Source organism: Homo sapiens, chromosome 1 (assembly GCF_000001405.40).
Source record: "Homo sapiens chromosome 1, GRCh38.p14 Primary Assembly".
In the NCBI taxonomy this organism is placed as follows: Eukaryota; Metazoa; Chordata; class Mammalia; order Primates; family Hominidae; genus Homo; species Homo sapiens.
Window position 1 is genome coordinate 94,804,798 of NC_000001.11, and position 26,988 is coordinate 94,831,785.

Here is a 26,988-nt window from a genome sequence, read left to right on the forward strand (position 1 = left end):
ATAACATTAGCTATGGGTTATTGAACCTATAATAACCAAACCAGTGGAGGCTCACGCCTATAATCCCAGCACTTTGGGAGGCTGAGGCAGGCGGATCACTTGAGGCCAGGAGTTCGAGACCAGCCTGGCCAAAATGGTGAAACCCTATGTCTACTAAAAAATTAGCTAAGCATGGTGGCACGTGCCTGTAATCCCAGCTACTTGGGAGGCTGAGGCAGGAGAATCGCTTGAACTCAGGAGGCAGTGGTTGCCATGAGCCAAGATTGCGCCACTGCACTTCAGCCTGGGTGACACAGCGAGACTCTGTCCCAAAAACTAATGACAATAACCAAATCAATAAGTTGCTTTGGGGCCAAGTTATAGTATAGGCAAACAATAACAATTTTGCAAATTAGCCATTGTTATCACCGTTTTAAAGATGGGGAAACAGAGGCTTACAGAGAATAAGTAATTTTCCCAAGATCACACAGTTGGCAACTGTCTGAACCTAGTTTCGAACCCTGAGTCAGCTCAATTCCAAAGGTCCAGTGATTTCCAGACAACTAAATAATGCACCATTTAAAATTCTTCAGTAAGAACTTGCAGTCAGTGCTTTTAGTCTATACAGGATATCAGTTTGTTCCAGGCAGTGCTAAGATGTGTAACAATATTGAATGTCTTTCATTTTAAGACAATTGTAAGATTTAATGAGGACATCAGTGTAATAATAGCTTTGGGGAAGCATAAAACACCACAATAAATATATATGTCAAATATAAGATGCCTCACTATTTGGAAATGTTAAACATTTTGTGAAAAATAAAACATAAAGATGGTCGGCTGGGTGCAGTGGCTCACACCTGTAATCCCAGAGCTTTGGGAGGCCAAGGCAGGAGGACTGCTTGAGCCCAAGAGTTCAAGAACAGCCTGGGCAACATAGCAAGACCACCTCTCTACAAAAAAATATAATTAAAAAATTAGCTGACCATGGTGGTGCACACCTGTAGTCCTAGATACTCAGGCGGTTGAGGCAGGAGGATTGCTTGAGCCAGGAGTTCAAAGGTACAGTGAGCTATGATCACACCACTGCACTCTAGCCTAGGTAACAGAGCAAGTCCCTGTCTCAAAAAAAAATAATTAATTAAAATAAAGATGAGGGAAAATACCCTAGAATCAATGAAGAAAACCACACAGTTTGTCTTGACAACACAGCCACTGGCCTGCAGTGCCATCTGCTGTAAAGAAGTGGCAACTACAGTAGCCCTCAATGCCAGGGTTTTACCAGGGCAGGAGGGCTAGTAACCTCTTCGTTACCCAGGTGTCTCAGAGTGCCAGTGTCCACGTCACGGATATGGAATAAAGGGGGAAATACAAATAAAAGTAAAAGATAAGAGGAAGAAAAATAAAGAAGATGGAAGAGAAAAATAAAAATAAAATAGGGAGGTGGTGTCATCATCCCTGTCATTAGGAGACTACCTCTTACCCGCCAGGTATTTTGCACATTTTATCTACAACCTATTTTGTTGATCTGTCTTACCAGGGGCTTGCCTTTTTTATTTTTCCAGTCTTTTCAAAGAACAAGCTTTTATTTTTATTGATCATCGGTATTGCGTTTTTGTTTTGTATTTCACTCATTTCTGCTAGCGTTTCTTCCCTCTACTTACTTCGGATAATTAGTTTCCATACATATGCCATGTGATTTTAAATCCTAGCATTTCAGAGCTGGAAGGAGATCAAGAAAAACCTGGCTCTCCTCTCTCATTTTACAAAGAGACCCAGAGAAAGAGGAAATTTGCCGTATGTCCTACAGCTGGTGCCTCGTTTCCACACAGATGAGTAATTGCTCCTCCTCCATTCATACCATGTTCCCCTCTTCCTCTTCTTTCCCTCCTCCCTTTCCTTTTCTGCTTTCCCTCACTCAGAACAGAAAAAGATAGCATTGTTGTGAGACAGAGTAGGCGTGGGACTGGGCCTCCCTCCCCCGTGCCCCACCAAGGACCTTTACTGCAAGCTGGTGGGGACCCCAATCAGACCATTCAGACCTTGCACCATAAATCTTGTTCAAGACGCCACACCCACTGATTGGAGGGTCTTGAAGAAGCTAAAATAAGCAGCTCTCACCATCAATCCTACTCAAGGGAGTTAACCCTATCTCCCGCATGCCTCAAGGCCAGAAGAATGGAGTAATCTTTAACCTTAGCTTCATTATGGTAGGAAAAATCACACCCAGGGGTGAAGATTGAACATGCTAATGAGACATGTGACATGTGAAGAAGCATGTTATGAACTGCACAGGGGCTAAAATTTCCCCGCCTCTACATACCTAAACATCACTTTCCCACCATAGCCCCTTTAAAACTGCCTCTCTAACTCCTCCAGGGCCAGCCAGACTCAGTCTCTCTCTCTCTCAAGCCTTGTTTAGGAAAACTCTTTTGGCCTCGGGTCAATTTCTATTGTATTAAAAGCCCAAGAACCCATGGCTGGTAACAGTTGGACTGATAAAATTCAGGATAAATAGGCAAACTTCCCCCTTAAAAGATCTAAATTTAAAATCATAGTGCATCAAATTTTGTACATTTGTGCTGGAAGTTAGTGGTTTTCCTGTTTTTACAACACTACACATGTACTCCAAATAGACAAGGTTACCAAATGCAAACAAATTTTAGAAAACAAAATTCAACCTGCCTCTTTAGAAGCTTATACTTGTACCTATTAAAAATGGTGATATTCAGCTGGGCATGGTGGCTCACACCTGTAATCCCAGCCCTTTGGAAGGCTGAGGCGGGCAGATCACGAGGTCAGGAGATTGAGACCATCCTGGCCAACATGGTGAAACCCCAGTCTTTACTAAAATACAAAAAATTAGCCGGGTGTGGTGGTGCATGCAGGTAGTCCCAGCTACTCGGGAGGCTGAGGCAGGGAATTGCTTGAACCCAGGAGGTGGAGATTGCAGTGAGTCAAGATTGTGCCAATGCACTCCAACCTGGGGACAGAGCGAGGCTCCGTCTCAAAAAAAAAAAATGTTGACATTTATTTCAGATATTTGGCAAAAAACAAAAATAGATGGTATCTTGGCAGTCAAAATGTAAACATAGGCCAGGTGTGGTGGCTCACGCCTGTAATCCCAGCACCTTGGGAGGCCGAGGTGGGTAGATCACGAGGTCAGGAGTTCAAGATCAGCCTGGCCAATGTGGTGATACTGCGTCTCTCCTAAAAATACAAAATTAGCTGGACGTGGTAGCAGGCACCTGTAATCCCGGCTACTCAGGAGGCTGAGGCAGGAGAATCACTTGAACCTGGGCGGTGGAGGTTGCCACTGCACTACAGCCTGGGCGACAGAGTGAGACTCCATCTCAAAAAAAGAAAAAAAATGAAAATGTAGTTTTACATTTCCAGTTAAACAAATGAACATTGCAGGTCATAAAATTCACTGAATGTTGCAGTAAGCTGGCTCTGGGAAAGATAAACAGAGGCTGCGGTTTGACCTGTGGGCCCCTGCCCTGCCTTTCATGACACTGCTCTCAGCCTTCAGAAGCCCTGGTGGCCTTGTGGTGTAGCTCTCTTCCTCTAAAAACCTGAGATAAGAAACGTATCTGGCATTAGTCATTTACATCTTATTATGGATTTATTACTCAAATGCCCTCTCCCAGGGCCATTTGTATTTTAATTTTTTCTCCAATGTGTGTTAAAAAGTTGTCCTCTCTAAGACAGCATTTTAGGTACATTAATCAGGTAGGGTAGGCACGAGAGAGGAGGGCTTTTCAAGTGCCTTGACAATCATTCCACCCACTTACCTAAGACCCTGCATATTTCAAAACAAATTAAGTTGTCCATGTCGTCAAAAAATGTAGTCTTTAACAGCACTACCCAGAACTGCTGCGTTTTTTTTTTTTTTTGGCCAGTGTTAATACTTGTTACACACACCACACACACACACACACGGGTACTTTGGTCAAATCTCTAGTATACTGATGAACACTGCAATAAATGGGATACAGAACAATATTTCTAAACCATATCTAACCACAGGATATTTTTTTCAATAGCGCCTCCAGGTCTACCGTTCCTCAGAACATGCAAGAGAGACCAGGTCATAATCTCCCTTCTGTTCAGTCTCCAGCACCATAAAAGAATAATTTGAAATGCCTTCCTGCTAGAACTCTCATTACTCATTAAAAGACACAGAAAGAAGAAAATGGTCTCTCAAGACTGGTACTCAGAGTGTCTCAGAGTGCCAGCAAGTGCTTCAGCAAGAGGCATCCCAGACACAGGTAGAAATGCTTGGTGAAGGTAAGTAGGAAATTTCTTGAGGTTGTTCATAGGAAGGCTCTGCCCTGCACAAATGCAGAAATGTAGGAGACAATAGATGTGATTAACATAAAAACACCACTAATATCCAACTAAATGGAAATGGTGAGACAAAAGAAAGCCAACAAATTAGACCAACCAGTCCCCAGCAGTTCATACATCTTATCTTCAGTAGAATTCAAGGACTTAGCAGTCTGACTGTTCTATCCTTCTATACTATGGTCAGAGAGTCTATGGTTAGATTGTTTGGTTTAGTCTATAAAGAACCAACCTCAATTTTATTTTATTTTTATTTTTTTAAACTTAAAAAAAGAGAGAGCAAGAGACAGGGTCTTGCTATGCTCCCCAGGCTGGTCTTGCATTCCTGGCCTCAAGCAATCCTCCCTCTCAGCCTCCCACAAGGCTGGTATTACAGGCATTAGCCACTGCACCTGGCCTTTTTTAACTTTTATTTTAGATTTAGAGGGTACATGTGCAGGTTTGTCACCTGGGCATATTGCATGATGCTGAGGTTTGAGGTACAAATGATCCCATTACTCAGGTAATAAGCATAATAACCAGTAGTTAGTTTTCTAATCCTTGCTCTCCTCGTTCACTCCCCCAATAGTCCCTAGTTTCTATTGTTGCCATCTTTATGTCCATAAATTCCAAATGTTTAGCCAACCTCAACTTTAAAATCACACATTAAAAAAAAGTGTAGAGTTAAAAAGTTCCAGATGACTCCCTACCATACACCATCATTTTTTGTAATATCCCCTAAAAAGCAAACTAAATTATGTTATTTAAGGAGTGAAATAATCTAAAATAATAAGTATGTTTAAGTAGGCTGGGCGCGGTGGCTCATGCCTGTAATCCCAGCACTTTGGGAGGCCGAGGCGGGCAGATCACCTGAGGTCAGGAGTTTGAAACCAGTCTAGCCTACACAGCAAAACCCCGTCTCTACTAAGAATACAAAAATTAGCCGGGCGTGGTGGTGCGTGCCTGTAATCCCAGCTACTCAGGAGGCTGAAGCACAAGAATCACTTGAACCCAGGAGGCAGAGGTTGCAGTGAGCCAAGATCACACCACTGCATTCCAGCCTGAGTGACAGAGTGAGACTCCGTCTCAAAAAAAAAAAAAAAAAGGTATGTTTAAGTAAGGGGGTAAACAAAACTGAGAACAGTGGTTACCTCTGAGATTGAAAGCTTAGCAGGAGTTGTGTCCAAGGAGAAGCATTATGGGAATATTCTAGTTATTTAATTGGGTAGTGAGTTTAGGTGTGTTCATGTCATTATGCCTTATAACTTAGTATATACCCCATGTGTACTACAGTTTTTATTATGCAATGTTTGATATATGCAAAAGAATATATTAACATAAATAATGTAATGTGACATATATAATCTTTTGTAACTAAAAAATATTTTTTAACCAAACTGAAAGTCCCTCAGGGCTAAAGGAGAGACTGTGTTCCAAGGAACACATTTAAGAAGGGAGCCTGGTGGCTATACTGTTCCCTTGCCTCACCTCCCCATAAGAATTTTCCTGCTGGGGCTGGGCATGGTGGCTCACACCTGTAATCCCAGCACTTTGGGAGGCCAAGGCAGGTGGATTATCTGAGGTCAGGAGTTCGAGACCAGCCTGGCCAACATGACAAAACCCCATCTCTACTAAAAATACAAAAATTAGCCAGATGTGGTGGAGCATGCCTGTAATCCCAGCTACTTGGGAGGCTGAGGCAGGAGAAATAGTTGAACCTGGGAGGCGGAAGTTGCAGTAAGCTGAGATCGTGCCATTGCACTCCAGCCTGGGCAACGGAACGAAACTTCATCTCAAAAAAAAAAAAAAAAAGTATTTTCCTGCTGGAATCTTGCTGCCCCCACCAAGCCTACCCTTGCTCCCTGCTCTTCAGAGGTACAAGGGGAACACAAGCCCCTCTCCTTCCAGTCCTTTGAGCACAACCAAGACAGGGTAGCATTTTCTAAAAGCTGTTCTACAAAGTGGGAGCAAATGAGAAAGATACAATCACAGAAAGGCAAACGGCTTCTTGGTGTGGCATGCTGGGCCCTAACGGCTGAGTTAGTTCTGCCCTCAGAAGTATACCTTCTCTCCCTCCCTCCTTCTCCCCCTTATTTTCATCCTCCAGTGATACTACATGGCTGGGGGTCCCCTGCTGCTCCATGCCCCTAGCCCTTTAGCCATGCTCTCTCTTCTGCCTGGGAAGCCCTCCCCACCTTTCTCTATCTTGCCATTTCTTGTTCATCTTGCACCATTCAACTCAGGCCCCCTCTCCCAGGAAGGCTTCTTGGAACCCTGGGACTGGGCAAAGAACCCGCATCAGCCTGCCTCATCATTAACCCTCAACTGAGCTTGACCTCGCTGGAGTGGGCAAATATTCCTTCTTGGTGTTCGTGCCCCTTGAGTTGGCCCAAGTCCTGGCACAAAGCAAGTGCTGAGTCAATCCCTGTTGAATAAAGATAGGCTAAAATTAATCAAGGTTCCCCCAGAGACCAGATTTCTAATCCAAAGATTTCAAGGAGAAAAGAAGGTCTTCTGAGGCTGAAACTTCCTCATCCTGAAATGACCAGGATCCAGATTTAAAGAGCTGGGAGTCCTTTGCACACACACCTTGCTTGGTTTCCTTCCCCCCACCTCCCTCCCTGTCTCAGCCAAGTGCTCCCCAGTGCCTCCTTATCTATCCAGTATATCTTGGGCCATTTCTGGACCAAGTACAAAGACCCAAGACCTCTTGCATCCTTCATCTCATCTCTGGCTTCCAGTCTGAGGTACAAGCCCCCATGGCTGACAGGAAAGGCAAGATGGGGAAGGATCTGGTCCTTCTGAGTCAGTGATCCTGCCCGCACTGGAGCCTCTGATAACTGACTCTTGTAAGGTGAGCCCCTTCTTAGTCTGGGACGAGAAATTGCTCCATCAGAGTCTAACATCATGGTATTTTATCCAGAGGGCATCAGGCCCAAAGCATGGTGGGAACTCAGCCACAGGAGCTGATGAGGAGGGTAAGGAAGCCTGGGAAAAGTGGGATGAAGGGTGGGAAGTTCTGGCCTTTCTTAGTGCTGGCCCCAAAGTACAGTGTCAATAAGATTCACAGGCTGAAGCTTAGGTCAAGCTTCAGTCTGCATCTGGGAGACCTGCCCCAAAGAGGTAATAGTCAGACACTTGAAAGCAAAGCAGGCAACCTGAGTGGCCCTAACTGCATCTTTGTGTGACCAGATTGGGACAGAAGCAAGATCTCAACATCTTCAGAGAGCACCTAGAAGTTTTAGAAAAAGGTGCCAAAGGCCTTTGGAAGAGATGCAGATTAGAATATAAGACAAACATGAAAATCATGAGAAAGTTAGGAACAGATGGGCAGGAGGGGAATGTGAGGTATAGGATGAAGAAACACACAGAGAAGAGGAAAAACTGTTAAGGCCAAAGTGCTACAGAAGCTCCAGGGGCCTGCATGGGGTTGGAGTGAAGAGATTGAGGGTGGGAAACTGTGAGAGCTTGGCACCTTAGCTGAGCCAATAGATCTGGAGATACAATGATCCTAAGGCTAAGTAATGATGTTGCCTCAGTGAGGAATAGAGAGGGTCAGGCATGAGTGCCCAAGCTGTGGGGGGTAGAGGGGAGTAAAAAAAAAAAAGGCAGAAACAAAAGAAACAAGGTAGGTATGTTCAAGAGCAGGTGCATCCATACAGAAGTGTTAAGCATGTCTACTTCCCAAGTGGAAGCTCAGGAGGTGGCATGCATTGTCATCATCTGTGGGAGTACAGTCAGGGTGGTGGGAAAAATTGTAGAGGAAAAATTATAAAGATAGTTATAGAAAATAAACACAAACCCTCCTGGAAGGCTGGGGGGTTTGCATGGCTTCAGTACCAGATTTGGCTGAAGGCAGCCTAATCCTCTTTACCTTTAGTTGATAGCAAAAAAGCAAACAACAAGGGAATGTGTGGAGTTGAAATAGCTTGTTTACTCTTGTGGTCCTAAGACCAAACTGATCAACCTCAGGTGCATAATTGCTCTCTGCTGGGGGGTGGGGGGGTCGGCAATGTTAATTACCCTCTAGTGGTGTTTACTCAAGACCTTTGTCATTTAATCTGTACTAAATAAATGCAAACTTTGCCAGCTTATGGGGCAATGCTCCAGACTCAGAACAGAGCCCCTTAGCTGGACTGACAGCTGTGTTAGTGTATGTCTCTCATTCGTTGCTGGGTCAGGGTCTGCAGGTCGGACCCTACAGTCATCGTGTGTGTCTGTGTGTAAAGTTAGAAAAATAACAAAAGTAGAGAAAATAGTTTAATGAACCCCCAGCAATTTAACGAAGTTTAATGAACTTCAGCAATTATCAATGGATAGTCAATCTTGTTTCCCCATACCTCCAACCATTCTCCTTTGCCCTGGATTTTTTAAAAAGCAAATCCCAGAGAGCATATCATTTTTGGTATGTAAATCTAAAAGATAAAGACTCCCTTATTTTAGACTTAGCCCCAGTGCCATCATCAGACCCCCAAATTCTTTAATATAAATTAGTTAATATCATCAAACATCCAATCACTGCTTACATTTCCTACAGTGTCCTCTAAATGATCTTTCATTTTTTCATTTGGTTTAATCTGGATCTAAACAATGTCCACACATTGTAATTAGTTAAAATATTGGTTTCCTTTAATCTGTAGGTTTTCCACATACTCTTTTCTTTCTTGTTATCTTTTTGCTGTTGTGGTGGAGATTGTTGTCAAAACACAATGTCAAAATCGATTTTCCCATTCTTGATTTTGCCGGTGGCATCCCTGAGATGTCATTTGACTTGTTCCTCTATTTCCTATATTTATAGCAAAGTTGGTAGTCAGATTCCACTGGATTTTTCTGGCATGACAATTTCACAGGCAGCGATACGTTCTTCCCTGGGAGGAGGTTGATGGCTGACTGCCCCTCTTTTATGATGTTTGGAAAACTGTGATATCCTAATTCTTTTATTCCTTCTGCTTCTATAAGCCACAATATGTCTATTAAGAGAAACTTCCCTCATTGATTATTTGATTACCCTTAAGTATTGTTCGTATAAGAGAGGTAGAATATGTGTTTGATTCTTTCCCTTTAAGTTTTTGAAATGAGTTGGTCCCTAGAATTTTCTAGAGGCAATCAATAAGGATTTATTTTCATTTGGTATTATTGAGAATTTATGAATATAGACATATTCAATGTATTTCAAGGATGGGATATTTACAAGGGTTTTAGGGTCTGGCATAAGATGGGTTTTTCAAGGCAGGGATGCTGATTTAATTGGCCAGTTTGTTATATAATAAGTTGAGAACTGGCGAGAACAATGAAGGGTAGGAAGTTGAAGCGAGTTTTGAAGGGCACAGTCATGTGGTAACCCAGTTGAGTGATCTACGTATTATCCTGATGACAGCTATTAACCATTAGAGCCTATTGCTCTAATAGGTTTTTAGGAAATTCCTAAAACTGGATTTTTTTAAAACAAATAATAAATTTATCTGAAATGACATCTTAGTTCACAAGTGTAATAATAGTTCTTTCTTCCTTTTCTTTTTCTCCAGTACAATCTTTACTTGGTTTTGGTATCAGGTTGATGCTGGCCTCATAAAATGACCAGAGCAAATTTTGCTCTATTTCTATTTCTGGAGCAACTTGTATGTTATAGAAATTAACTGTTTCTTAAAAGTCCCTTAAAAGCCTCTAGATCTGAGTTGGGGTGGGGGGAGTTTAGGAGAGATATTTGGCTGCCATTTCAATTTACCAAACATTTAGTGGTTTATTCAAATTCTCTATTTCTTCTTATATCAATTATGGCATTTTACATTTTTAGGAACATAACCATTTTATTTAGGTTTACGTATATTAGGGCTCATAACACTTTTTAAATGTTTTAATATATTTTGTTATTTCCTCCATTATTCTGTCTTATTTTGAGTCTTTCCTCTTTTTTCCTGATCAGTCTTGCCAAAGTTTGGTCTTTTAATCTTTTCCATGGGACTGACTTCTGTTTTATTCATCTTCTCTACTTTTCTCTGTGTCACTGATTTCTGCCCATATCTTTATTATTGCCTTTCTTCTTGTTTCACTGTGTATGCTGTTGCTTCTTGTGTTGAATGCTTAGCTACTTTATTTTTAACCTTTTGTTTCCTGATAGATATAACCCATACAGTTCCATCTAACTGGTGTTTTAGCTGTGTCCCAATTTGACATGTAGAATTTTTATTAACATTCAATTTTAAATATTTCTTAATTTCCTTTATGACTCAAGGATGTTGTCTAGTAAGATGTTTTTTGGTTTCCAAATGAGGTTTGGGTAGTTTTTGGTTTCTGTTTGTTTGTGGGTTTTGTTTGTTTTTTGCTATTCTGCTGATATGGTTTGGGTCTGTGTCTCCACCCAAATTTCATGTCAAATTGTAATCCCCAAATTGGTGGGAGGTGATTGGATCATAGGGGCTGAGTTCTCATGAATGGGTTAGCACCATCCCCTCAGTGCTATTTTCATAATAGTGAGTTATTGTGGGATCTGGTCATTTAAAAGTATATTGCACCTTCCCCATGTCTCTCTCCTGCTCCAGCCATGTAAGACATGCCTGCTTCCCCTTCGCCTTCCACCATGAATGTAAGTTTCCTGAGGCCTCCCAAGAAGCAGAAGCCACTAAACTTCCTGTATAGCATGCAGAACTGTGAGCCAATTAAAACTCTTTTCTTTATAAATTACCCAGTCTCGGGTATTTCTTTATAGTAATGCAAGAATGAACTAATACATCTGCTGTATTATTTATTGTATGTGAAAAATTACCACATATGTAGTGACTTAAAACAACATGCATTTATTATCTTATAGTTTCTGTTGGTCAGGAGTCTGGGCACAATCTAACTGGGTTCTCTTTCTTTTGTAATGTCATGTAATCATGGGAATGACTTTCCATCACATTTACCGTGTATTTTTGGTGTATTAGGGGTCTTCAGAGAAGCAGAACCAATAGGATGGATGGATGGATGATTGATAGATAAGATAGACAGACTGATAGATATTATAAAGAGATTTATTATAATGAATTGACTCTCATGGGATTATGGAGGCTGGCAAATCCAAAATCTGCAAAACCAGTGTTCTAATTTAAGTCCAAAGGCTAGAAGCTGCTGTAGAACAAGGAAATGTCAATGTTCCAGTTCAAGTCCAAAGACCACTAGGATGCTGTAGACGGACAGCCAATATCCCAGTTCTAAGGCCATCAGGCAGGAAAATCCTCTTACTAGGTGGGTGGAGTCAGCCTTTTGTTCTATTCAGGCCTTCAACTGATTGGATGAGGCCCACATACATTAGAGAGGGAAAGCTGCTTTACTCAGTCCACCAATTTAAATGCTAATCTCATCCAGAAACACACTCACAGAAATACCCAGAATAATGTTTGACCAAATATCTGGATACCCTATGGCTGACCTATTCAAAATAATACATAAAATTAACCATCATAATTGGTTGAAAGGTACAGGTCCCACCCATATCTGAAGAAGGGAACTACATAAGGGTGTAAACACCAGGAGGTGGAAATCATAGGGGCCTTAAAATCTGTCCACCACACATACTGTTATTCATTACTTCTAATTTTATTGCACTGTGAAATTTATTGAGCCTCCCTTTAAGATCTAATACACAGTTTATGTTTTTACTTTAATGTTTCACATGTACCTGAAAAGAGAAAGGACATGTATTCACTGTTTGATGGAAACGTATATGAGTTATAAATATCTAATGGCTCAAGTTTATTAATTAAATTGTACAGACCTTGTATATTTGCTTTCTGTGTGTATGTGTGTTGGGAGAGGAGAGGAAGTATCTACTGTCTACTTGATCTATTGGATACTGAGAGGAGCCAGTTAAAAATCTCCAACTATAATTCTGATTTATCTGTTTCTGCCTAAATTTCTGTTAGCTGCTGCTTAATAAATATTAAAGCTGTATTGTTGGGCACATTTATGACCTCCCTTATGAACTTTCTATCTTAAGTTTTATTTTGTCAGGTTTTAAAATTACTACATGAGCTTTCTTTGGTTCACATTTGCACTATATCCTTTTCAAGCCTTTTAACCTTTTAGTGTCTGTTTTACACAAGTTTCTTGTAGAAAACATATTGCTGAATCCCTTGCTTTCATTCAATTTGAAAGACTGTTTTTCTTAATTGGTTAGTTTAAGCCACTTACATTTATTGTAATTGCTGCTCTATTTAGGAGGCAGCATAGAATAGCTCTAAGTATGGTTCTAAGTATGGGTTCTAGATCCAGACCACCTGGGTTCAGGCCTTGGTTCTGCCACTTTCTAGCAAGTTAGTTAATCTCAGTTTCATCATCTATAAAATGAGGATGATGAAAGTAATAGTACCTTCCTCATAAGGTTATTATGAGGATCAAATAAGAAACACCCAGAAAAGTATCTGGAACATATTAGGTACACTGAAAGTAAAAATTATTATTAGTAATTTTATTTCTGCTATCAAATTTCATATATTCTAATTATTGCACTTTCTTTTTATTCCTTTTTCCTCTGCTCTCTTGCCTTTCATTTGATAAAATTTTCTTCCACTGCTTTAAAAGTTACATGTTTTATTCTTTTTTAACGGTAGTTACCCTTAAGACCTACATTCACAAATATTTATCCCTATTGATTTATTAAAGTTAACAATTTTTTTCGTCTTCCTCCCATATGATAGTAATTTAACCCAGTACTACTCTAAGTACTCTAAGTAGTACTGGGTTACTTATCTCATCCATTCCAGAATGAGATTTGAGCCCACATGTAAATCAACACACAGCTTCCTTCATTGAGAAAGTCTTGCTACGAAAGTGTCAGCTGAATCAAAGAGTTTGCTTATGACATAGCTGATATGCATTCTGGTACAAGCTCCTTATCTCTTAGAGAACAATTAAGTTTTGTGAACCACCCTTTGAATGGCACTATTTTAGATCACTGTCCTATCATTTTGGCCTCTCATTCCTGAGTCCCACACCCCTCACAATATTGATATTGTCTATAATTTTAGGTCTGAATCATTATAAATACACTGTTCTTTGTTTTTAGACTTTTGAAAAGAGTTTTTGTAAGTCAGGTTTAATGAAATACAGTTTACATACAATAAAATTCACCTTTTCTAGTGTACAGTTCTACAAATTTTGACAAACAGATACCACTGGGTCATCAGTACCATTCTCAAGATAATGGAATATTTCCATCACTTCAGAAAGTTTCTCCAGATTCCCTTCACCCCCAGCACCTGACAACCATTGATCTATTTTCTGCCTTTTCCAGAATGTCACATAAATGGAATCATAGAGTAGCTTATTATATCTGACTTTTTTTCACTTAACATGCATTTGAGATCATCCATGTTTTTGCATATGTAAGAAGTCTGTTCCTTCTTAATGCTTAGTTGTATTTCATCGTATAGATGCATCACAGTTATGTATAGCCACCCACCAGTTCCTGGACACTTGGGTGGTTCCTGGTCTTTTTTCTAACACAACAATAAATTCAGCCTAAATATTTGGCCACTCTCATGCTATATCTATTGTATCATCTCCTGAATTTGTTTCTCTTCTTGCTTGATTATGTCCTCCAAGAATGTCATTCAAATGAATCTTTCATAAGAATATTTTTATTATTAATACATTCTCACATTCTAATGACAATATGGCTTAATAGAAAATAAGTTCAAAGTTATGCTTTTAAATACTTACATATAGAAACATTTTGCTTGAGATAAACCTTTTCAATCTGAAGGTTTTTTTCTACCTTGAAATTTATCTCCATTATATCTTCAAATATTTCCCCTTCTCTGTTTTTATATTTCTTCCTTTCTGTTCTAGTTTTACCCTAGATATAAGCTAGAAAATTTACAAATAAGCTAACTTGTTTTTTAAAACATTTTCTACTGCCTCTGGAGGTTTGCTGAAAGTGCTCTTCCAATTACTAATTCATCGTCAGCTGCATCTTTTAGACTATTGCACATTACTAATACGTAGCATCAATATTCATTCTAATTATTATTTTTATGCTTAATATGTTTTAGTTTCATATTTTTTCCTGATTCATATTGCTAATATCATAACTCATTTTAAATAAATTTATCATGCTTATTTAAAAATCTTGGTCCATCTGCTCTACTGATCAGTTTCAGATGGCATATGTTATTCAGTTGTGGTCTTTTAACAGTAGTTGCACTCCTCCAGTGTCTAATTCTTTGTCCTATGAATTCATGTTCCCCTGGGGTTTCACCTACTCTGTCTGATAAACATGCATCCAGGAAGGCCCAGTGAGTTTGCAGTGGGAGGGTGGTGTGAGCCCAGAAGGAAATCGCTGGCACCAGAGAACCACTGTCTATCATTCCCAGTTTCTCCCACTTACCCAGATCTTTCCTCCAGTCAGGTTTCTACCCTTAGGGAGAAGCAGCACCTAAAGGAAGCAATTAACCTAGCAACCCTAAGGGTGGCAGGGGGAAGGGTAGAGGCTTGATTGAGAGGAGGTGGGGGGAGGTCGGCCTGCAGTTTTTTTTGTTTTTCGTTTTTTAAATTCCTCACCCCAACAGTGCTTTTGCGCTGGTCTGACACTACCTGGAAAACTATGCCACCAGTCGCTTCAGTGGACACTACCATTTCAATTGCGAAGTCAGGCAATGATTGTCCTAAGGCAAGGTGGGAGAGAAGTCAGAGTAAACCACCTCGAGAGCGCCGGTCTCCCGGAGTGTCTGGGTTCGACTCCTGCCTCCACAACTTACTGGGTCTCCTCGAACAAGTTGCATCACCAATGGCCGTGCCTCAGTTTCCCTCCTCCGTAGATTAGGAATAACAATAGCAGTGAGAACAGAATCCAGCACACAGTAAATGCTGCTTACCTGTTTGCTATGTGGAATACGCCACTACACTGTTGCTCGGCCCTCAGGAAGGGTCTGCTGAGACTTTCTACTTCCTGCTCAGGGCAGAGGCCGACCACCCGCCCAAGGTCGTGGCGGCGCCGGCTCAGCTTTAGTCGTCAAAGTGCACATCCTGGGAGCCGCTGCCTCGAGGTGGTTGAGGCGAGAGGGCAGGGAAGCGTCTGAGCCTCTTCCTCCCACCAGAGCAGGACCCCAGCTGACAGCGGGTGAGCTGGGCAGAAACCCATGCCGGGAAGAGGCGGACCCAGTGGACCGCAGCGCCCGCAGTCGCCGGGCCAGGCGCAGAGGCGAACGGGAGGCGGCGCTGCACCGTGCCCGCCCCTCCCCGGCCCGGCCCCGGCTCCAGCCCCAGCCCCAGCCCCAGCCCCGGCCCCGGCCCCGGCTCGCGGGCGCTGCGTCTCCGCGTACAGGAGGCGGCGGCGGCTCCCAGTCACCGGCCCCCGCCGGCGAGCGCACGATGCACTGCCTGGGCGCCGAGTACCTGGTAAGCGCTCGCAGCCTCGGCCCTCGGGGGAGGAGCCCCGGGGAAGGGTCGAGTCCCCCGCCTTCACGCACCTTCCCTGCCGGACGCTTCCGCCTTTCCCGCGCCTCGGGGATCCCGCCCCCGCTTAGTACCTTGGGGCCACCTGGCGGGGAGGAACCTGGACCCTGCTCCAGTGCTGGGGCGGAGGCGGGGGAGACGCGGGCCGCGGGGCGCAAACTTGGGGTCGTCCTCAGGTGCACCTCCAGGTAAGCACTTGGCGGCAGGGGGCTTAACATCCGCTCCGCGCAGAGCAGGTGTTTCAAAGGCTGTGTGAAAGAGCTTCAGGTGGCCACGTAAAAAAATAATATTAATTTTAAAAATTTAGAAAAAGATTGGTTACTTTGGCCCCTCTTCGAGTAGATTTGGGTTCGGTTTCCAGGTTGAGTCCACCTGTTTATCTTCTTTTTCTCAACTCTCCCTTTTTCTGGAAGGTTTCTGCAGAAGGAGCCCCTAGGCAAAGGGAGTGGCGACCCCAGATTTATAGGAAATGCACAGATACGGCATGGTTATTCCTGTTCTTTCTCTTTTGGACTGGTTTGGTAAGTGTGGGTGCTTGGTAGGAAAGAGGCCAGAGTGTGTGTGCACGTCTGGAAATAACTCTGTCCCAAATGTAAATCGTAGTTGGTGCTGCAGTGAGAGACTTCTGCCGTTAACCCACAATAAACATCAGTTTGTACTCGGGAGAATTCTTGTCCTAGACTCGCTAGAAAGGCTGTCTTTTTGCTACAGGCCATGTTCTAAGGGGTGACTCCATTAGGAAATGGGAATTAACAGTTTGCAATGTGATTGCTATTTAGTAAGGCCAATGTGTCTCCTTTTACTCTCCGAACTTACTGAACAGAAGTTCTTTTAGCACCTGCCACACCCCCAAATCAAATATTCCTCAAGCTTTTGGTGCACCTTTAACAAAGGAAAAGCCAGGGTAAGCCTAGAAATAAACTGCATTTCCTTTAGCTGAACATCACACACACACGCGCGCGAGAGATATGTTGTGTTTAGCAGCCAACACTGTTAACCATAGCTAACAAGGAATGATTTTTCCCACTCTAATTTCGAGGTATGTATGATTGCTGGTAAACTCCATCAGGCTATGCGGTTATAATCCTGAGAGAGTCTGTTGGAAGCCGAATCTTGCTGCTTTTATACTTATTTTAGAATTGTAGGTAACAGCAGAAAACGTCTCACCCGACATTTTCAAAGGCCACTTTCACGAAATCATCCATGCCAGGATAAGGCATGCTATTTGCTGCATGGTAAATGATTAATTTATAGAGCAGGGTAATAACTACCAGATAGTAATTACCTTTGTTGAAAAGAATTCCATCTGAATAGGCCCTAAAATATCATGTTTGTTCTTTCCAAGTAAGAAAGGCATTTGTTCACTTATGACCCGTTTCACATAGACAGGCTTGGTTACAGGCACAGTGGAAGGTTAGGTCTGAAACACATAATCAGATGTTTTTTGTTGCTTACGTTGGAACTCTCCCCTAGGAGCTGGGAGAGACAGTGCACCTACAATACCTTCTGCTTAACTTCGCAGATGGTTGGTGTTTTTATCTGAGACTGCTGTTGTATAAATGCAGGGAGCAGCTGGCCTGCCTTGTGCCTGGCAGCTTTGACCTCAAGCTGTTATTGTGATTTAATGATCTGCCGTAGCCCCTCCACAGCTTCAACCTAGGACCTCACTACCAAACTCTCAGCCCAACAGCTGAGAATCCTGGGGAAAATCTTTGTAGATGACCTATCACAGCCTGAAGAATTGTGAACCAGCTGAGAGGTGGCACGGAGCTGGAAACTGCTTTAAAATTACATTTCATTTGCAAAATAAGTCTGAAGTTTTAATATATCCAAGTTCTCACTATGGCATTCTGTTTTAAGAGTCAGAGTCCTTTCTTAGCTCACTGGCTTTTAGTGTCTTTTGCAACATTTTTTATTTGCAGGTATTTAAAACAGAGCAAGGAGTGTTTTGTTTTTGGACTTTTTTTTCTGCCTCTGTTGTTCAGCTTTCAGGTCTTGTGACAGATGTCCTGACTGGTGATGGTGTGCCCTGAGTTAGGGCTGGACAAAGGCTTGGGGGAAGGAGCTGAAATTATAAGCAGAGATGGTTCTTGCAAATGCAGCACCAGCCTGTGTTTATATTTGCATTAAACATAAGGAACAAAGTCTCAAAGTCTGGACTATCTCTGCCTCTACTTACCCCTCCAGTATCCTCTCCTGCCCTGCCTTTTCCTATCATCCCTCAAGATTCCATTTTCCTGATTTTGCAGGCACGGTTGACAGTGACTACCTTGGTGGCCAATGTACTAGACCAATGTACACACCTCCTATATCACCTGTCATATAGAATCGCAATTGCATGTTTGAAATTAGGACAATGAAGGTTTATAGTAGTAGTTTCTTGGAAGGCCGAGGCAGGAAGATCCCTTGAAGCCAGGAGTTCAAGACCAGCCTGGGCAATAAAGCAAGACCCTGTGTCTACAAAACATAAAAAATAATAATCATAAAGTCATAGTTTTATTAGGAGGGACTCAGGAATCCTCAGAAACCACTCCCACCTCTCCCACCCAGAAAAACTTTCCATTCTTCACCACAGGCTTTCCAAAGGAAAGAATGATGGTAAATGGAAAACATCACTTTGTTATTAGATTACTGGTGAGCTGGGCAGAAGCACATGACCCCTTTCCTCCCTCTAAATCCAAACACAGTCCAGACCTTACTACACTCCAACTCGAAAGGACGAGACAAGCATGTCAAGGCACAGTCAGCTTGCCATGCCAGCCACATTGGCAAACAGAGTCACACCTACTCCACAGCCTTTAGGTAAAGGGTGAGTGACACACACTACTAGCAAAGGTGACCCATTCATTCTAGAATCTGACCAGTTAGACTTAGGAGGATCTTGGAGAGTGGGAAAGGACAGGGAGCCTCCTTCCCCAGGAGGTCTGCAGCCCGTAAGTCCTGCTTGCCTTCTAGGCTGGGTTCCTGGAGGCAAGGAGTAGGTTCTGGTCATTCCTGTGTCTCCCAGTAAGAAAGTCTCAAGAACACACTGGGCACTTGAAGAATGTTTGTTATTTTGATTTCTAAATTAGTAATAAATGCAGAATGTCTAGAAGGTATTTGAATTTAGGACAATGTACCTTTGCAGCATAAGGTATCAATACTATATATTAATGAATAGTGTATTATATCTGTTCTCCTGGAATGAACTTGTCAATATAGAGTATTAAATGGTATCCTATATATTGCATACAGTACTGGGAAACTTACTAAGTTTGCATTATGGGAAGATACATATTCAATCTTGGCAGAGAGCCTGTCAGTATGTATTAATGGCACAGTTGTTTGAACTGAAATTTCAAATATTCCACATTCACTATGAGAGTGGATAAAAATGATGATAGATTGCAAGATGTTCTTGTCCAACAGAATTCCTGTGGTCCTTTATTTTGTATGTCTTAAGCAGTTACTCCAAAACACTATTTGCAGATTGGTGAACAGTGTTTCAGTACATATCAACTGTGTTGCTTCTGCAGAATCCCTTAAAAGTAAGAAAAGAAAAACAAAAAAAGTAGTAGAAAAAAAAAAAACCTTGGGGAAAGAATTAGCATAGCCCTGAAGCAGTTAAATTAAGCAAGAACATCAAGGGAAGAAAAATTGAATTGTCCCAGTAAAGTTAGACCAAAAAGAAAAATGATAGACTCTTAAGGAAAAGGTTAAAAAGCACAGAGGTAAGAAAATGGAGAGAAATCTGTTTCAGTGGATTAGATTCTCTCTCTACCTAAATGTATAAGTAGCAGAGGAGCAGGATGCTGATAGATGGGAGTTGCTGACACTGTTACTGACGGAGCAAAGCGCTATGATGCTGGAGAGCTTCACGTTCCACCAGGCTCCGTTTTATATCAGCATCTGCAGGGGTGTGGGGCACTGTGCGCTCAGCCCTTTGGCCAGGCTCTCATATGCCCCCGTTTTTGCCAGGTGTTTATCATGGGCTACTCGGTGGTGGCTGGAGCCGCGGGAAGACTCCTCTTTGGCTATGACAGCTTTGGCAACATGTGTGGCAAGAAGAACTCCCCCGTGGAAGGGGCCCCTCTTTCAGGGCAGGACATGACCCTAAAAAAGTAAGTATCTAAATAAGTCCCCAGTCTGTAAGGAACTGTACCTCAAAACTTTGTATAAATTCATCATTTGGAGCCTGGAAACTTTTCCCATTCAAAACTCTGTCAGCCTATTTTATAAAAAGGAAGGCTGTGTATATAGTACAGGTAAGAGTACAAGTTTTAGAATCATAGTCCTAAGTTCAAATTCAGCCCATGCTACTTTTCAGCTGTGTGATCTTGGGCAGAGTACTTAACCTCTCAAAGCCTAGTTTTCATCTCTCTAAACTAGTTATTATACCTACCTCACAAGGTTGTTTTAAGGATTCATGAGACACTGCATGAGCTAAAGTATAATAAACGTTAATTGCTGCTATTATTCTCCATAATGAATCAGAATCATGTTACCAATCGTATATGTTTGAACCCTACATCATCCACACATTGTTTCTACGTGGAAATACCCGAATGCCACCTGGAACACTGGGGACCTGTGTCCCACCCCTGCCCCAGCTATGGCACTGTGGTGTTGCATTCTTCCCCCTACTCCCTTACCCCACCTCCCACAGGGAAACAGAAAGGGGAGAGAAGAGATGGGAATTCCCTAGAGGGGAGAGAAATCCCTGACCATGAACTTCTAAGATGGAGACTGCCTTGTAAGAATTTTTAAGATTTTAGCTCTTGCTTCACATGACAGAACAAAAAAATGATGTTTTATTTTTATTTTTTATTTTTTTGAGACAGACTCTCATTCTGTCACACAGGCTGGAGTGCAGTGGGGAGATCTCAGCTCACTGCAAGCTCTGCCTCCCGGGTTCAAGAGATTCTCTTGCCTCAGCTTCCCAAGTAGCTGGGACTGCAGGCGCCCGCCACCAGGCCTGGCTAATTTTTGTATTTTTAGTAGAGACGGGGTTTCACTGTGTTAGCCAGGATGGCCTCCATCTCCTGACCTTGTGATCTGTCACCTCAGCCTCCCAAAGTGCTGGGATTACAGCCGTGAGCCACCACACCCAGCCAAAAACGGATTTTTAGGACTCAATAATAAAAGTAGCTCCTAGAAGAGAAATCCTAAGGATCTAAATAAATCCTGAATATAAGTTTGGAGTCACCAAATACAAATCTCAGACTAAGCCTCTTATCCTCCTGAGTGTTGCTCCTAAGGGGGCTCTTGCTCTTTCTGGGCATGGACTAATTACGGAGCATTTTCTCCTGCACTCATAGAGCCACTTACAAAGAAGACAGGAGGAGGAAGGGCGACTTAGATGCCCATGTGCTCCCATTTCACATTGTGTTCATAATGCAGTGTCAACAAACAGTCATTCCTGGTTGAAGTGAGTATACATTCCATTATTCTCAAAAGCCAAAAGGTAGAAGCAACTCAAGTGTCCATCAATGGTTGAATGGATAATCAAAATGTGATATGTATATTACAATGAAATATTAAAAAGGAAGGAAATTCTGACACATACTACAACAGGGATGAACCCTGAGGATGTCATGCCAAGTGAAATAAACCAGTCACAAAAATACAAACATTGTATGATTCCACTTACATGAGATATGTAAAGTAGTCAGATTCCTAGAAACAGAAAGTAAAATGGCGATTGCAAAGGGCTGGAGGAAAGGAGGGTGGGAACCTATTGTTTAATGGGTACAGATTTCAGTTTGGGAAGATGAGTTCTGTGAATGGATGGTGGTGATGATAGCCCAACAACGTGAATGTACTAATGTCACTGTACACTTAGAAAGATTCAGATGGGGCTGGTGCAGTGGCTCATGCCTGTAATCCCAACAGTTTGGAAGGCCAAGGCGGGCAGATCCACAGGGTCAGGAGTTCAAGACCAGCCTGGCCAACATGGTGAAACCCTGTCTCTACTAGAAATACAAAAATTAGCCAGGTGTGGTGGCAGGCACCAGTAGTCCCAGCTACTCAGGAGGCTGATGCAGGAGAATCACTTGAACCTGGGAGGCAGAGGTGGCAGTGTCATTGCACTCCAGCCTGGGTGACAGAGCGAGACTCTGTCTCAAAAAAAAAAAAAAAGAAAGATTCAGATGGTAAATTTTATGTATATTTTAACACAATTTTTAAACTTCTTCAAAAATATGTATATCACACACCCAGGAAATCTGTTCCTCATCTCCTGTTGCACCACCTTTCTCCCATCCCCAACAGGAGGGAAAAAAACCTTCTGGGACCCCTTCTCAAGGTCTCTCCCATAAAGGGCAGCCTACGGGGTCTTCCTCTGCCATTCCTGGGGTCTTGGAGCCTGGATAAGTGGTAGGCAAGGGTTTGGAAGCTGTAGCTGCTAGCGCATAACCTGCTGATGGCAACACCAGTTTCATTCTTGTCCCCCCTCTGCCCTGCCCCTGGGGAGCTGCAGGAGGGTTCTCCTGAGTGTCCTGGCTCTCAACCTGGGAGAAGGGGGAAAAGACAAGCCTTTGGTTCCCAGCCTTGGCCCCCTCCTTTCCACTTCTCACTTCCCTGTGTTCAGTTATTCTCTGAAGCATATTTGAACACTCTTGGGTACAAATGTGTTCTCCGTGGAGTCCATTGAATAGTTTGTGCATTGGCCTGATCTAGCAATCAATGGACAGTTTAACCAATTGCTTCTTTTCCTCAGATTTTCTCAGGTAACTCCCTAGTGCTATCCCCTAGACAACACTAAATCTGGAGAAATAAAGCTTTGTTAATGTTTTTGGATAGTTTCCAAGCTGCACAGCTTCATGGATGACCACCAGTAGGCATCATAAATGTTCAATTATGCTGAAACAATTATGAAAGTGTGCCTGGGTGATCCCTGCATTTGATAGCATGTGGATATTTTTTAAGGCCCACAATTAAGACCAGTGAGAAGCAATGCTCTAACACATTCTTCTGTTTCATCTATTTCCTAGACACGTGTTCTTTATGAATTCCTGCAACCTGGAAGTCAAAGGTACGCAGCTCAACCGCATGGCCCTCTGTGTATCCAACTGCCCTGAAGAGCAGCTTGACTCCCTGGAAGAGGTCCAGTTCTTTGCAAACACCAGTGGTAGGCACTAAGGCCTGGTTTGTTCTTTTCCCCATGATGGGGTAAGCTGTGGGGACCTAGATGAGATCATTTACCCTGACTCTGCTTTCTCTGGAAAGCTGGAAGTTTTACTTCCTTGTGGGTGCCTCTTTTTGTGTGGAAAAGGCCGTAAGCATTTTCTCTTGAGCTTGTTCAGGTTATTTTTTTTCTATCTGGATTTATCTGAAGCCCTAGCTATTCCGTGTATGCTCCCTGCCACTGCAGGGAATGGTCATCCACAGAGAGAGAGAGGAGACAGCCCACATTTAAGACCCAAAGGCGGTGTCAGAAGGAAGGCAGAGAGCTCCATGCACGTGGGCACATCCGGTCCTAGAGATGTACGTGCAGGCTGCGCGTAGAATTGCTGACAAATTGGTCTTTTCATGAGATTTTTGGGGCCAATAGATACTTCCACTGAGCAGTGGGATGTCACAAGTTGTACCAGAAGCACTTGTATAACTAAAATACCTTGTACTGGGTCCACTGTTTAGAATTTTATCTGTCTGAGAAATGGTTTGCCAGATTTTTAAAAATTATTTGCAAAGCCAGGTTTAAACTATCAAGCTTCTACAAGAAATTGTTTTCAAATATGCTTCAGATTATTTTAGGACCAATCATATAACTTTTAGTTTTGAATTTGGGGTTTTGAAGAGAAAGTAAGGAAGAGAGGCCCTCACTAGACCTCAGATTGTATGCCTATTACTTTTGTGTTTCTGTCACCCATAGACCTTGTAGTTGATTCTTTCTCCTTTCTGGTTTGGTAACATGGCTGTGGTTTCCTTACTGACTCACCTGGAAAGAAGGTATAATGTCTGTGTGTTCTGCTTCCAGGGTCCTTCCTGTGTGTTTATAGTTTGAATTCCTTCAACTATACCCACAGTCCAAAAGCAGACTCACTGTGTCCCAGGCTACCAGTTCCTCCAAGGTAAAAGCTTCCATACTTTTTCCTTAACTCTAAACAAAAGTTACTGGGTACTTGGTGTGCATCTGTTACTCTTCTAGGCATTGTGGGAAGGAGATATCAGAAGAGCCCCTGCCTGCAGGGAGCTTACAGTCTACGGAGGCCAGCGATAAAAACATGGAGGGACTATTTGCAGTATGCCTATGGACAGTGGATTAGAAATCAGGCTAAATAAGGAGAAAACTCAGCAAGCAATAAAAATACACGTAGTCTTCAAAGAACACTAGAGCTAGCAAGAAGTAACTTATGAATTATTACTAACGGGGTGATTTTATAAATTAGTGTGTATTTTTTTCTACTCCAATTATTTATTGCAAAGTAGAAATCATTTACTTTGGCCGGGCATGGTGGCTCACACCTGCAATCCCAGCATTTTGGGAGACTGAGCCAGGCGGATCACGAGGTCAGGAGATGGAGACCATCCTGGCCAACGTGGTGAATCCCCATCTCTAAATATACAAAAATATATACTATTTTTTTGTATACTAAAAATATACTAAAAATACAAAAATTAGCCGGGTGTGGTGGTGCATGCCTGTAGTCCCAGCTACTTGGGAGGCCGAGGCAGAAGAATCACTTGAACCCAGAAGGTGGAGGTTGCAGTGAGCCGAGATCGCGACACTGCACTCCAGCCTGGTGACAGAGCGGGAATCTGTCTCAAAAAAAAAAAGAAAATCGTTTACTTTTGGCTTTTTATCATAATTAGACTCTGTTAGTTTTTATTGCTCTAGATATCTTCATAAGAAACAGACCAGATGGACAAGGCCAAGTGATCACCACACCTTTCTTAATGAAAACAGAAAGCACAGGTCCTTATCAAGAGTACACTTGGTGGGCTCCTTGCAAGGTCTTATTCACCCCTGTAAATTAGTGTACTACCTGGCACATGGTAGGCACCTTACAAATATTTGTAGAATAAAGTTGTAATGATGGAACGGTGGTTGCATTGCCATGGCGAATGGCTCATGTTTACACCTTTGAGAAGGCTAAGGGGAAAAATACAATGAGTGTTTATTGCCACCATTATGATGCTGAGATGTACTAAAGGAAAACTTGTATTGATTTTGAATTGTCATTCTTTTGAAAAATGTGAGTATGTTTACAATGTAGGAGACCTCTCTGAAAAATCCCTGAGAAATAATGATTATTTAATTAAAACAAAGCATTATTCCAATCCTCTAGGGTGGTGTTTATTGAACTCTTGTTTGGGACTTACAGTAAGAAATTTATTACATCCCAACTCCTGTATGCACATACCTTCATATGTCCTTACATATATAAAACAAAACTAGAAATCTCACAAAACAACATTTACCCTTATTACATATGATTCACACTCTTAGTTACTACTCTGTTGCCTTTTTAAAAATAATGTATTTCATAGTCTTATAACTGGTTGCAAGTGAAGCTTGAAAAATGCTGAACTAGCAGGTGCTCACAAACACAAAGAGACTTGAGAAGGTTTAAATCACATCGGAGGCAGAAAATAGCCATTTTGTGATATTCTTTTCTAAAATAAATACTCCATGTTGTAAGTAATTGAAGGAGGAGAGAACTATTTGCTGAGGAGAATACCCATTTCATTTTTCTATAATATTCTTTTTTTTGAGACAGAGTCTTGCTCTTGTCACCCAGGCTGGAGTGCAGTGGTGCGATCTCAGCTCACTGCAACCTCCATCTCCCAGGTTCAAGCAATTCTCCTGCCTCAGCCTCCCAAGTAGCTGGGACCACAGGCGCATGCCACCATACCCAGCTAATGTTTTTATTTTTAGTAGAGATGGGGTTTCTCCATGTTGGCCAGGATGGTCTTGATCTCGTGACCTCGTGATCCGCCTGCCTCGGCCTCCCAAAGTGCTGGGATTACAGGCATGATCCACCACGCCTGGCCTATAATATCTTATTTTTAAAATTCTGGTAATTGTAAATGTGTTTATGATATTTTACATTCTGGTAAAATGTAAGGTATCATAAACACATCTTAATGAAACATACTGAACCCAATTTAAAAAAAAACTAGAATGTTTTAGTAATAGGTGGAAGGAAAATTCTCTAGCACTTGGAGAGGAGGACTTTTTTAAGAACACAATTTGTAACTGTAGATGTAACTACGGATGGAATTGAAAGAGAATGGAATTTTTAAGGTTGTAATTTAACCAGAGTTGGATAAACTCTCTTCTTACTATAAATGGGATGGCAACCATAATTCCACAGGAAGCTTATATCTTGATACTTATGATGATAATGGCAAACATTTATTGAGCTTTTGATACTTTTCTAAACCCTTAACATAATTTGGGCCTCAGAAAACGTCTATATTGTAGGTATTGTTTTCATCCCTATCTTACAACTGAGAAAACTGATGCAGAGAGGTTTAAGTTCATACATCCAGCAAATGGAAAAGCTGGCATTCAAACCCAAGCAGCGTCTATGTTTGAGTCAAGACTTGATTTTATTTTGACTGGTGAGTGGCCTTCCTAGACTCACATCAAGCTGGGAGAAAGAGTCTCCGTATCCTGTGTCATAATAGCACCATTTCTTCTCACTCTCAAGCCAGCCCTAGTCCTTTTCACCCTAAATGCAAATGTTTCCAATACTAACTTTTCAAGTAAAGACAAAACCCTTGACTGAGTGGCCTTTTTTGGACAGAAAGAGAGAGAGAAATAGCCTCAAGGGCTCCATTCCCTTTTCCTGCACAAGCAAGTGTTTGTTTAAGGTGAAAATGATCATATTTATCATGGAATAGCAGTGCCAAGACTGAAAAGCTGGAAAACATGAGAAGGGTGGCTATAGGGCCAAAGAACATTTTCTAAATACCTCTTTTTGACTAAACTGATTGTTTCTTCCTCGTCTGTCGGTCATGTGAGGTATAACGTACCCTTTTCGAGTAATGGCTAAATATCAAGGAATTTGTGGACCTAGGTATGAGCTTTTAAGAGCAGTGAAAAAGCACTACAGAAGATAACAAGCAAATAGATCTTTTTTCACTTTGGTGTTCAACATGGTAATGTATTTTGAGTCCCTCATGTATTCAAAATCTAAAAGGCGTGGATATTTTCCCCCCAGTAAATTCTAGTTCTACTCTCCCACATAGGTGCCTGTGCATGTCACTGCATGGTTTGCTCAGCTGAATTCCATATACCTGGTGATCTAAATATACAGGCAG

The 26,988-nt window shown here is 42.1% G+C and overlaps 1 protein-coding gene and 1 long non-coding RNA gene across 33 annotated transcripts in view, besides 1 other annotated feature; one reads left to right on the forward strand and one right to left on the reverse strand.

The window, feature by feature from the left end:
• Positions 1-15,435, reverse strand: part of SLC44A3-AS1 (SLC44A3 antisense RNA 1) — a 203,881-nt gene extending 188,446 nt beyond the window's left edge. For all 7 annotated transcript variants that reach the window (NR_160780.1, NR_160779.1, NR_104131.2 and 4 more), the window contains exon 1: positions 15,159-15,435. This is a non-coding gene — a long non-coding RNA (SLC44A3 antisense RNA 1). The remainder of the gene's footprint in view (positions 1-15,158) is intronic.
• Positions 15,560-26,988, forward strand: part of SLC44A3 (solute carrier family 44 member 3) — a 74,891-nt gene continuing 63,462 nt past the window's right edge. For 10 of the 26 annotated variants that reach the window (NR_146575.2, XR_946543.3, XM_005270442.3 and 7 more), the window contains exons 1-5: positions 15,560-15,681; positions 16,152-16,259; positions 19,696-19,838; positions 22,710-22,846; positions 23,696-23,789. Coding sequence is in view for 24 of the 26 variants with exons in the window: in XM_005270442.3 (XP_005270499.1) it covers positions 15,655-15,681; positions 16,152-16,259; positions 19,696-19,838; positions 22,710-22,846; positions 23,696-23,789 (509 nt within the window). In the remaining 2 variants the exon portion in view is untranslated. Of the gene's footprint in view, positions 15,682-15,803; positions 15,927-16,151; positions 16,260-19,695; positions 19,839-21,035; positions 21,146-22,709; positions 22,847-23,695; positions 23,790-26,988 lie in introns of those variants that run through there. The other 16 variants (XM_005270440.3, XM_017000265.2, NM_001258341.2 and 13 more) reach the window with 8 other exon arrangements.
• Positions 15,564-15,753: a silencer, noted in NCBI's record as "silent region_1100". NCBI's record gives its function as "represses an Ori minimal core promoter by ATAC-STARR-seq in GM12878 lymphoblastoid cells {active_cell/tissue: GM12878}" and the evidence as "EXISTENCE:reporter gene assay evidence [ECO:0000049][PMID:35858748]".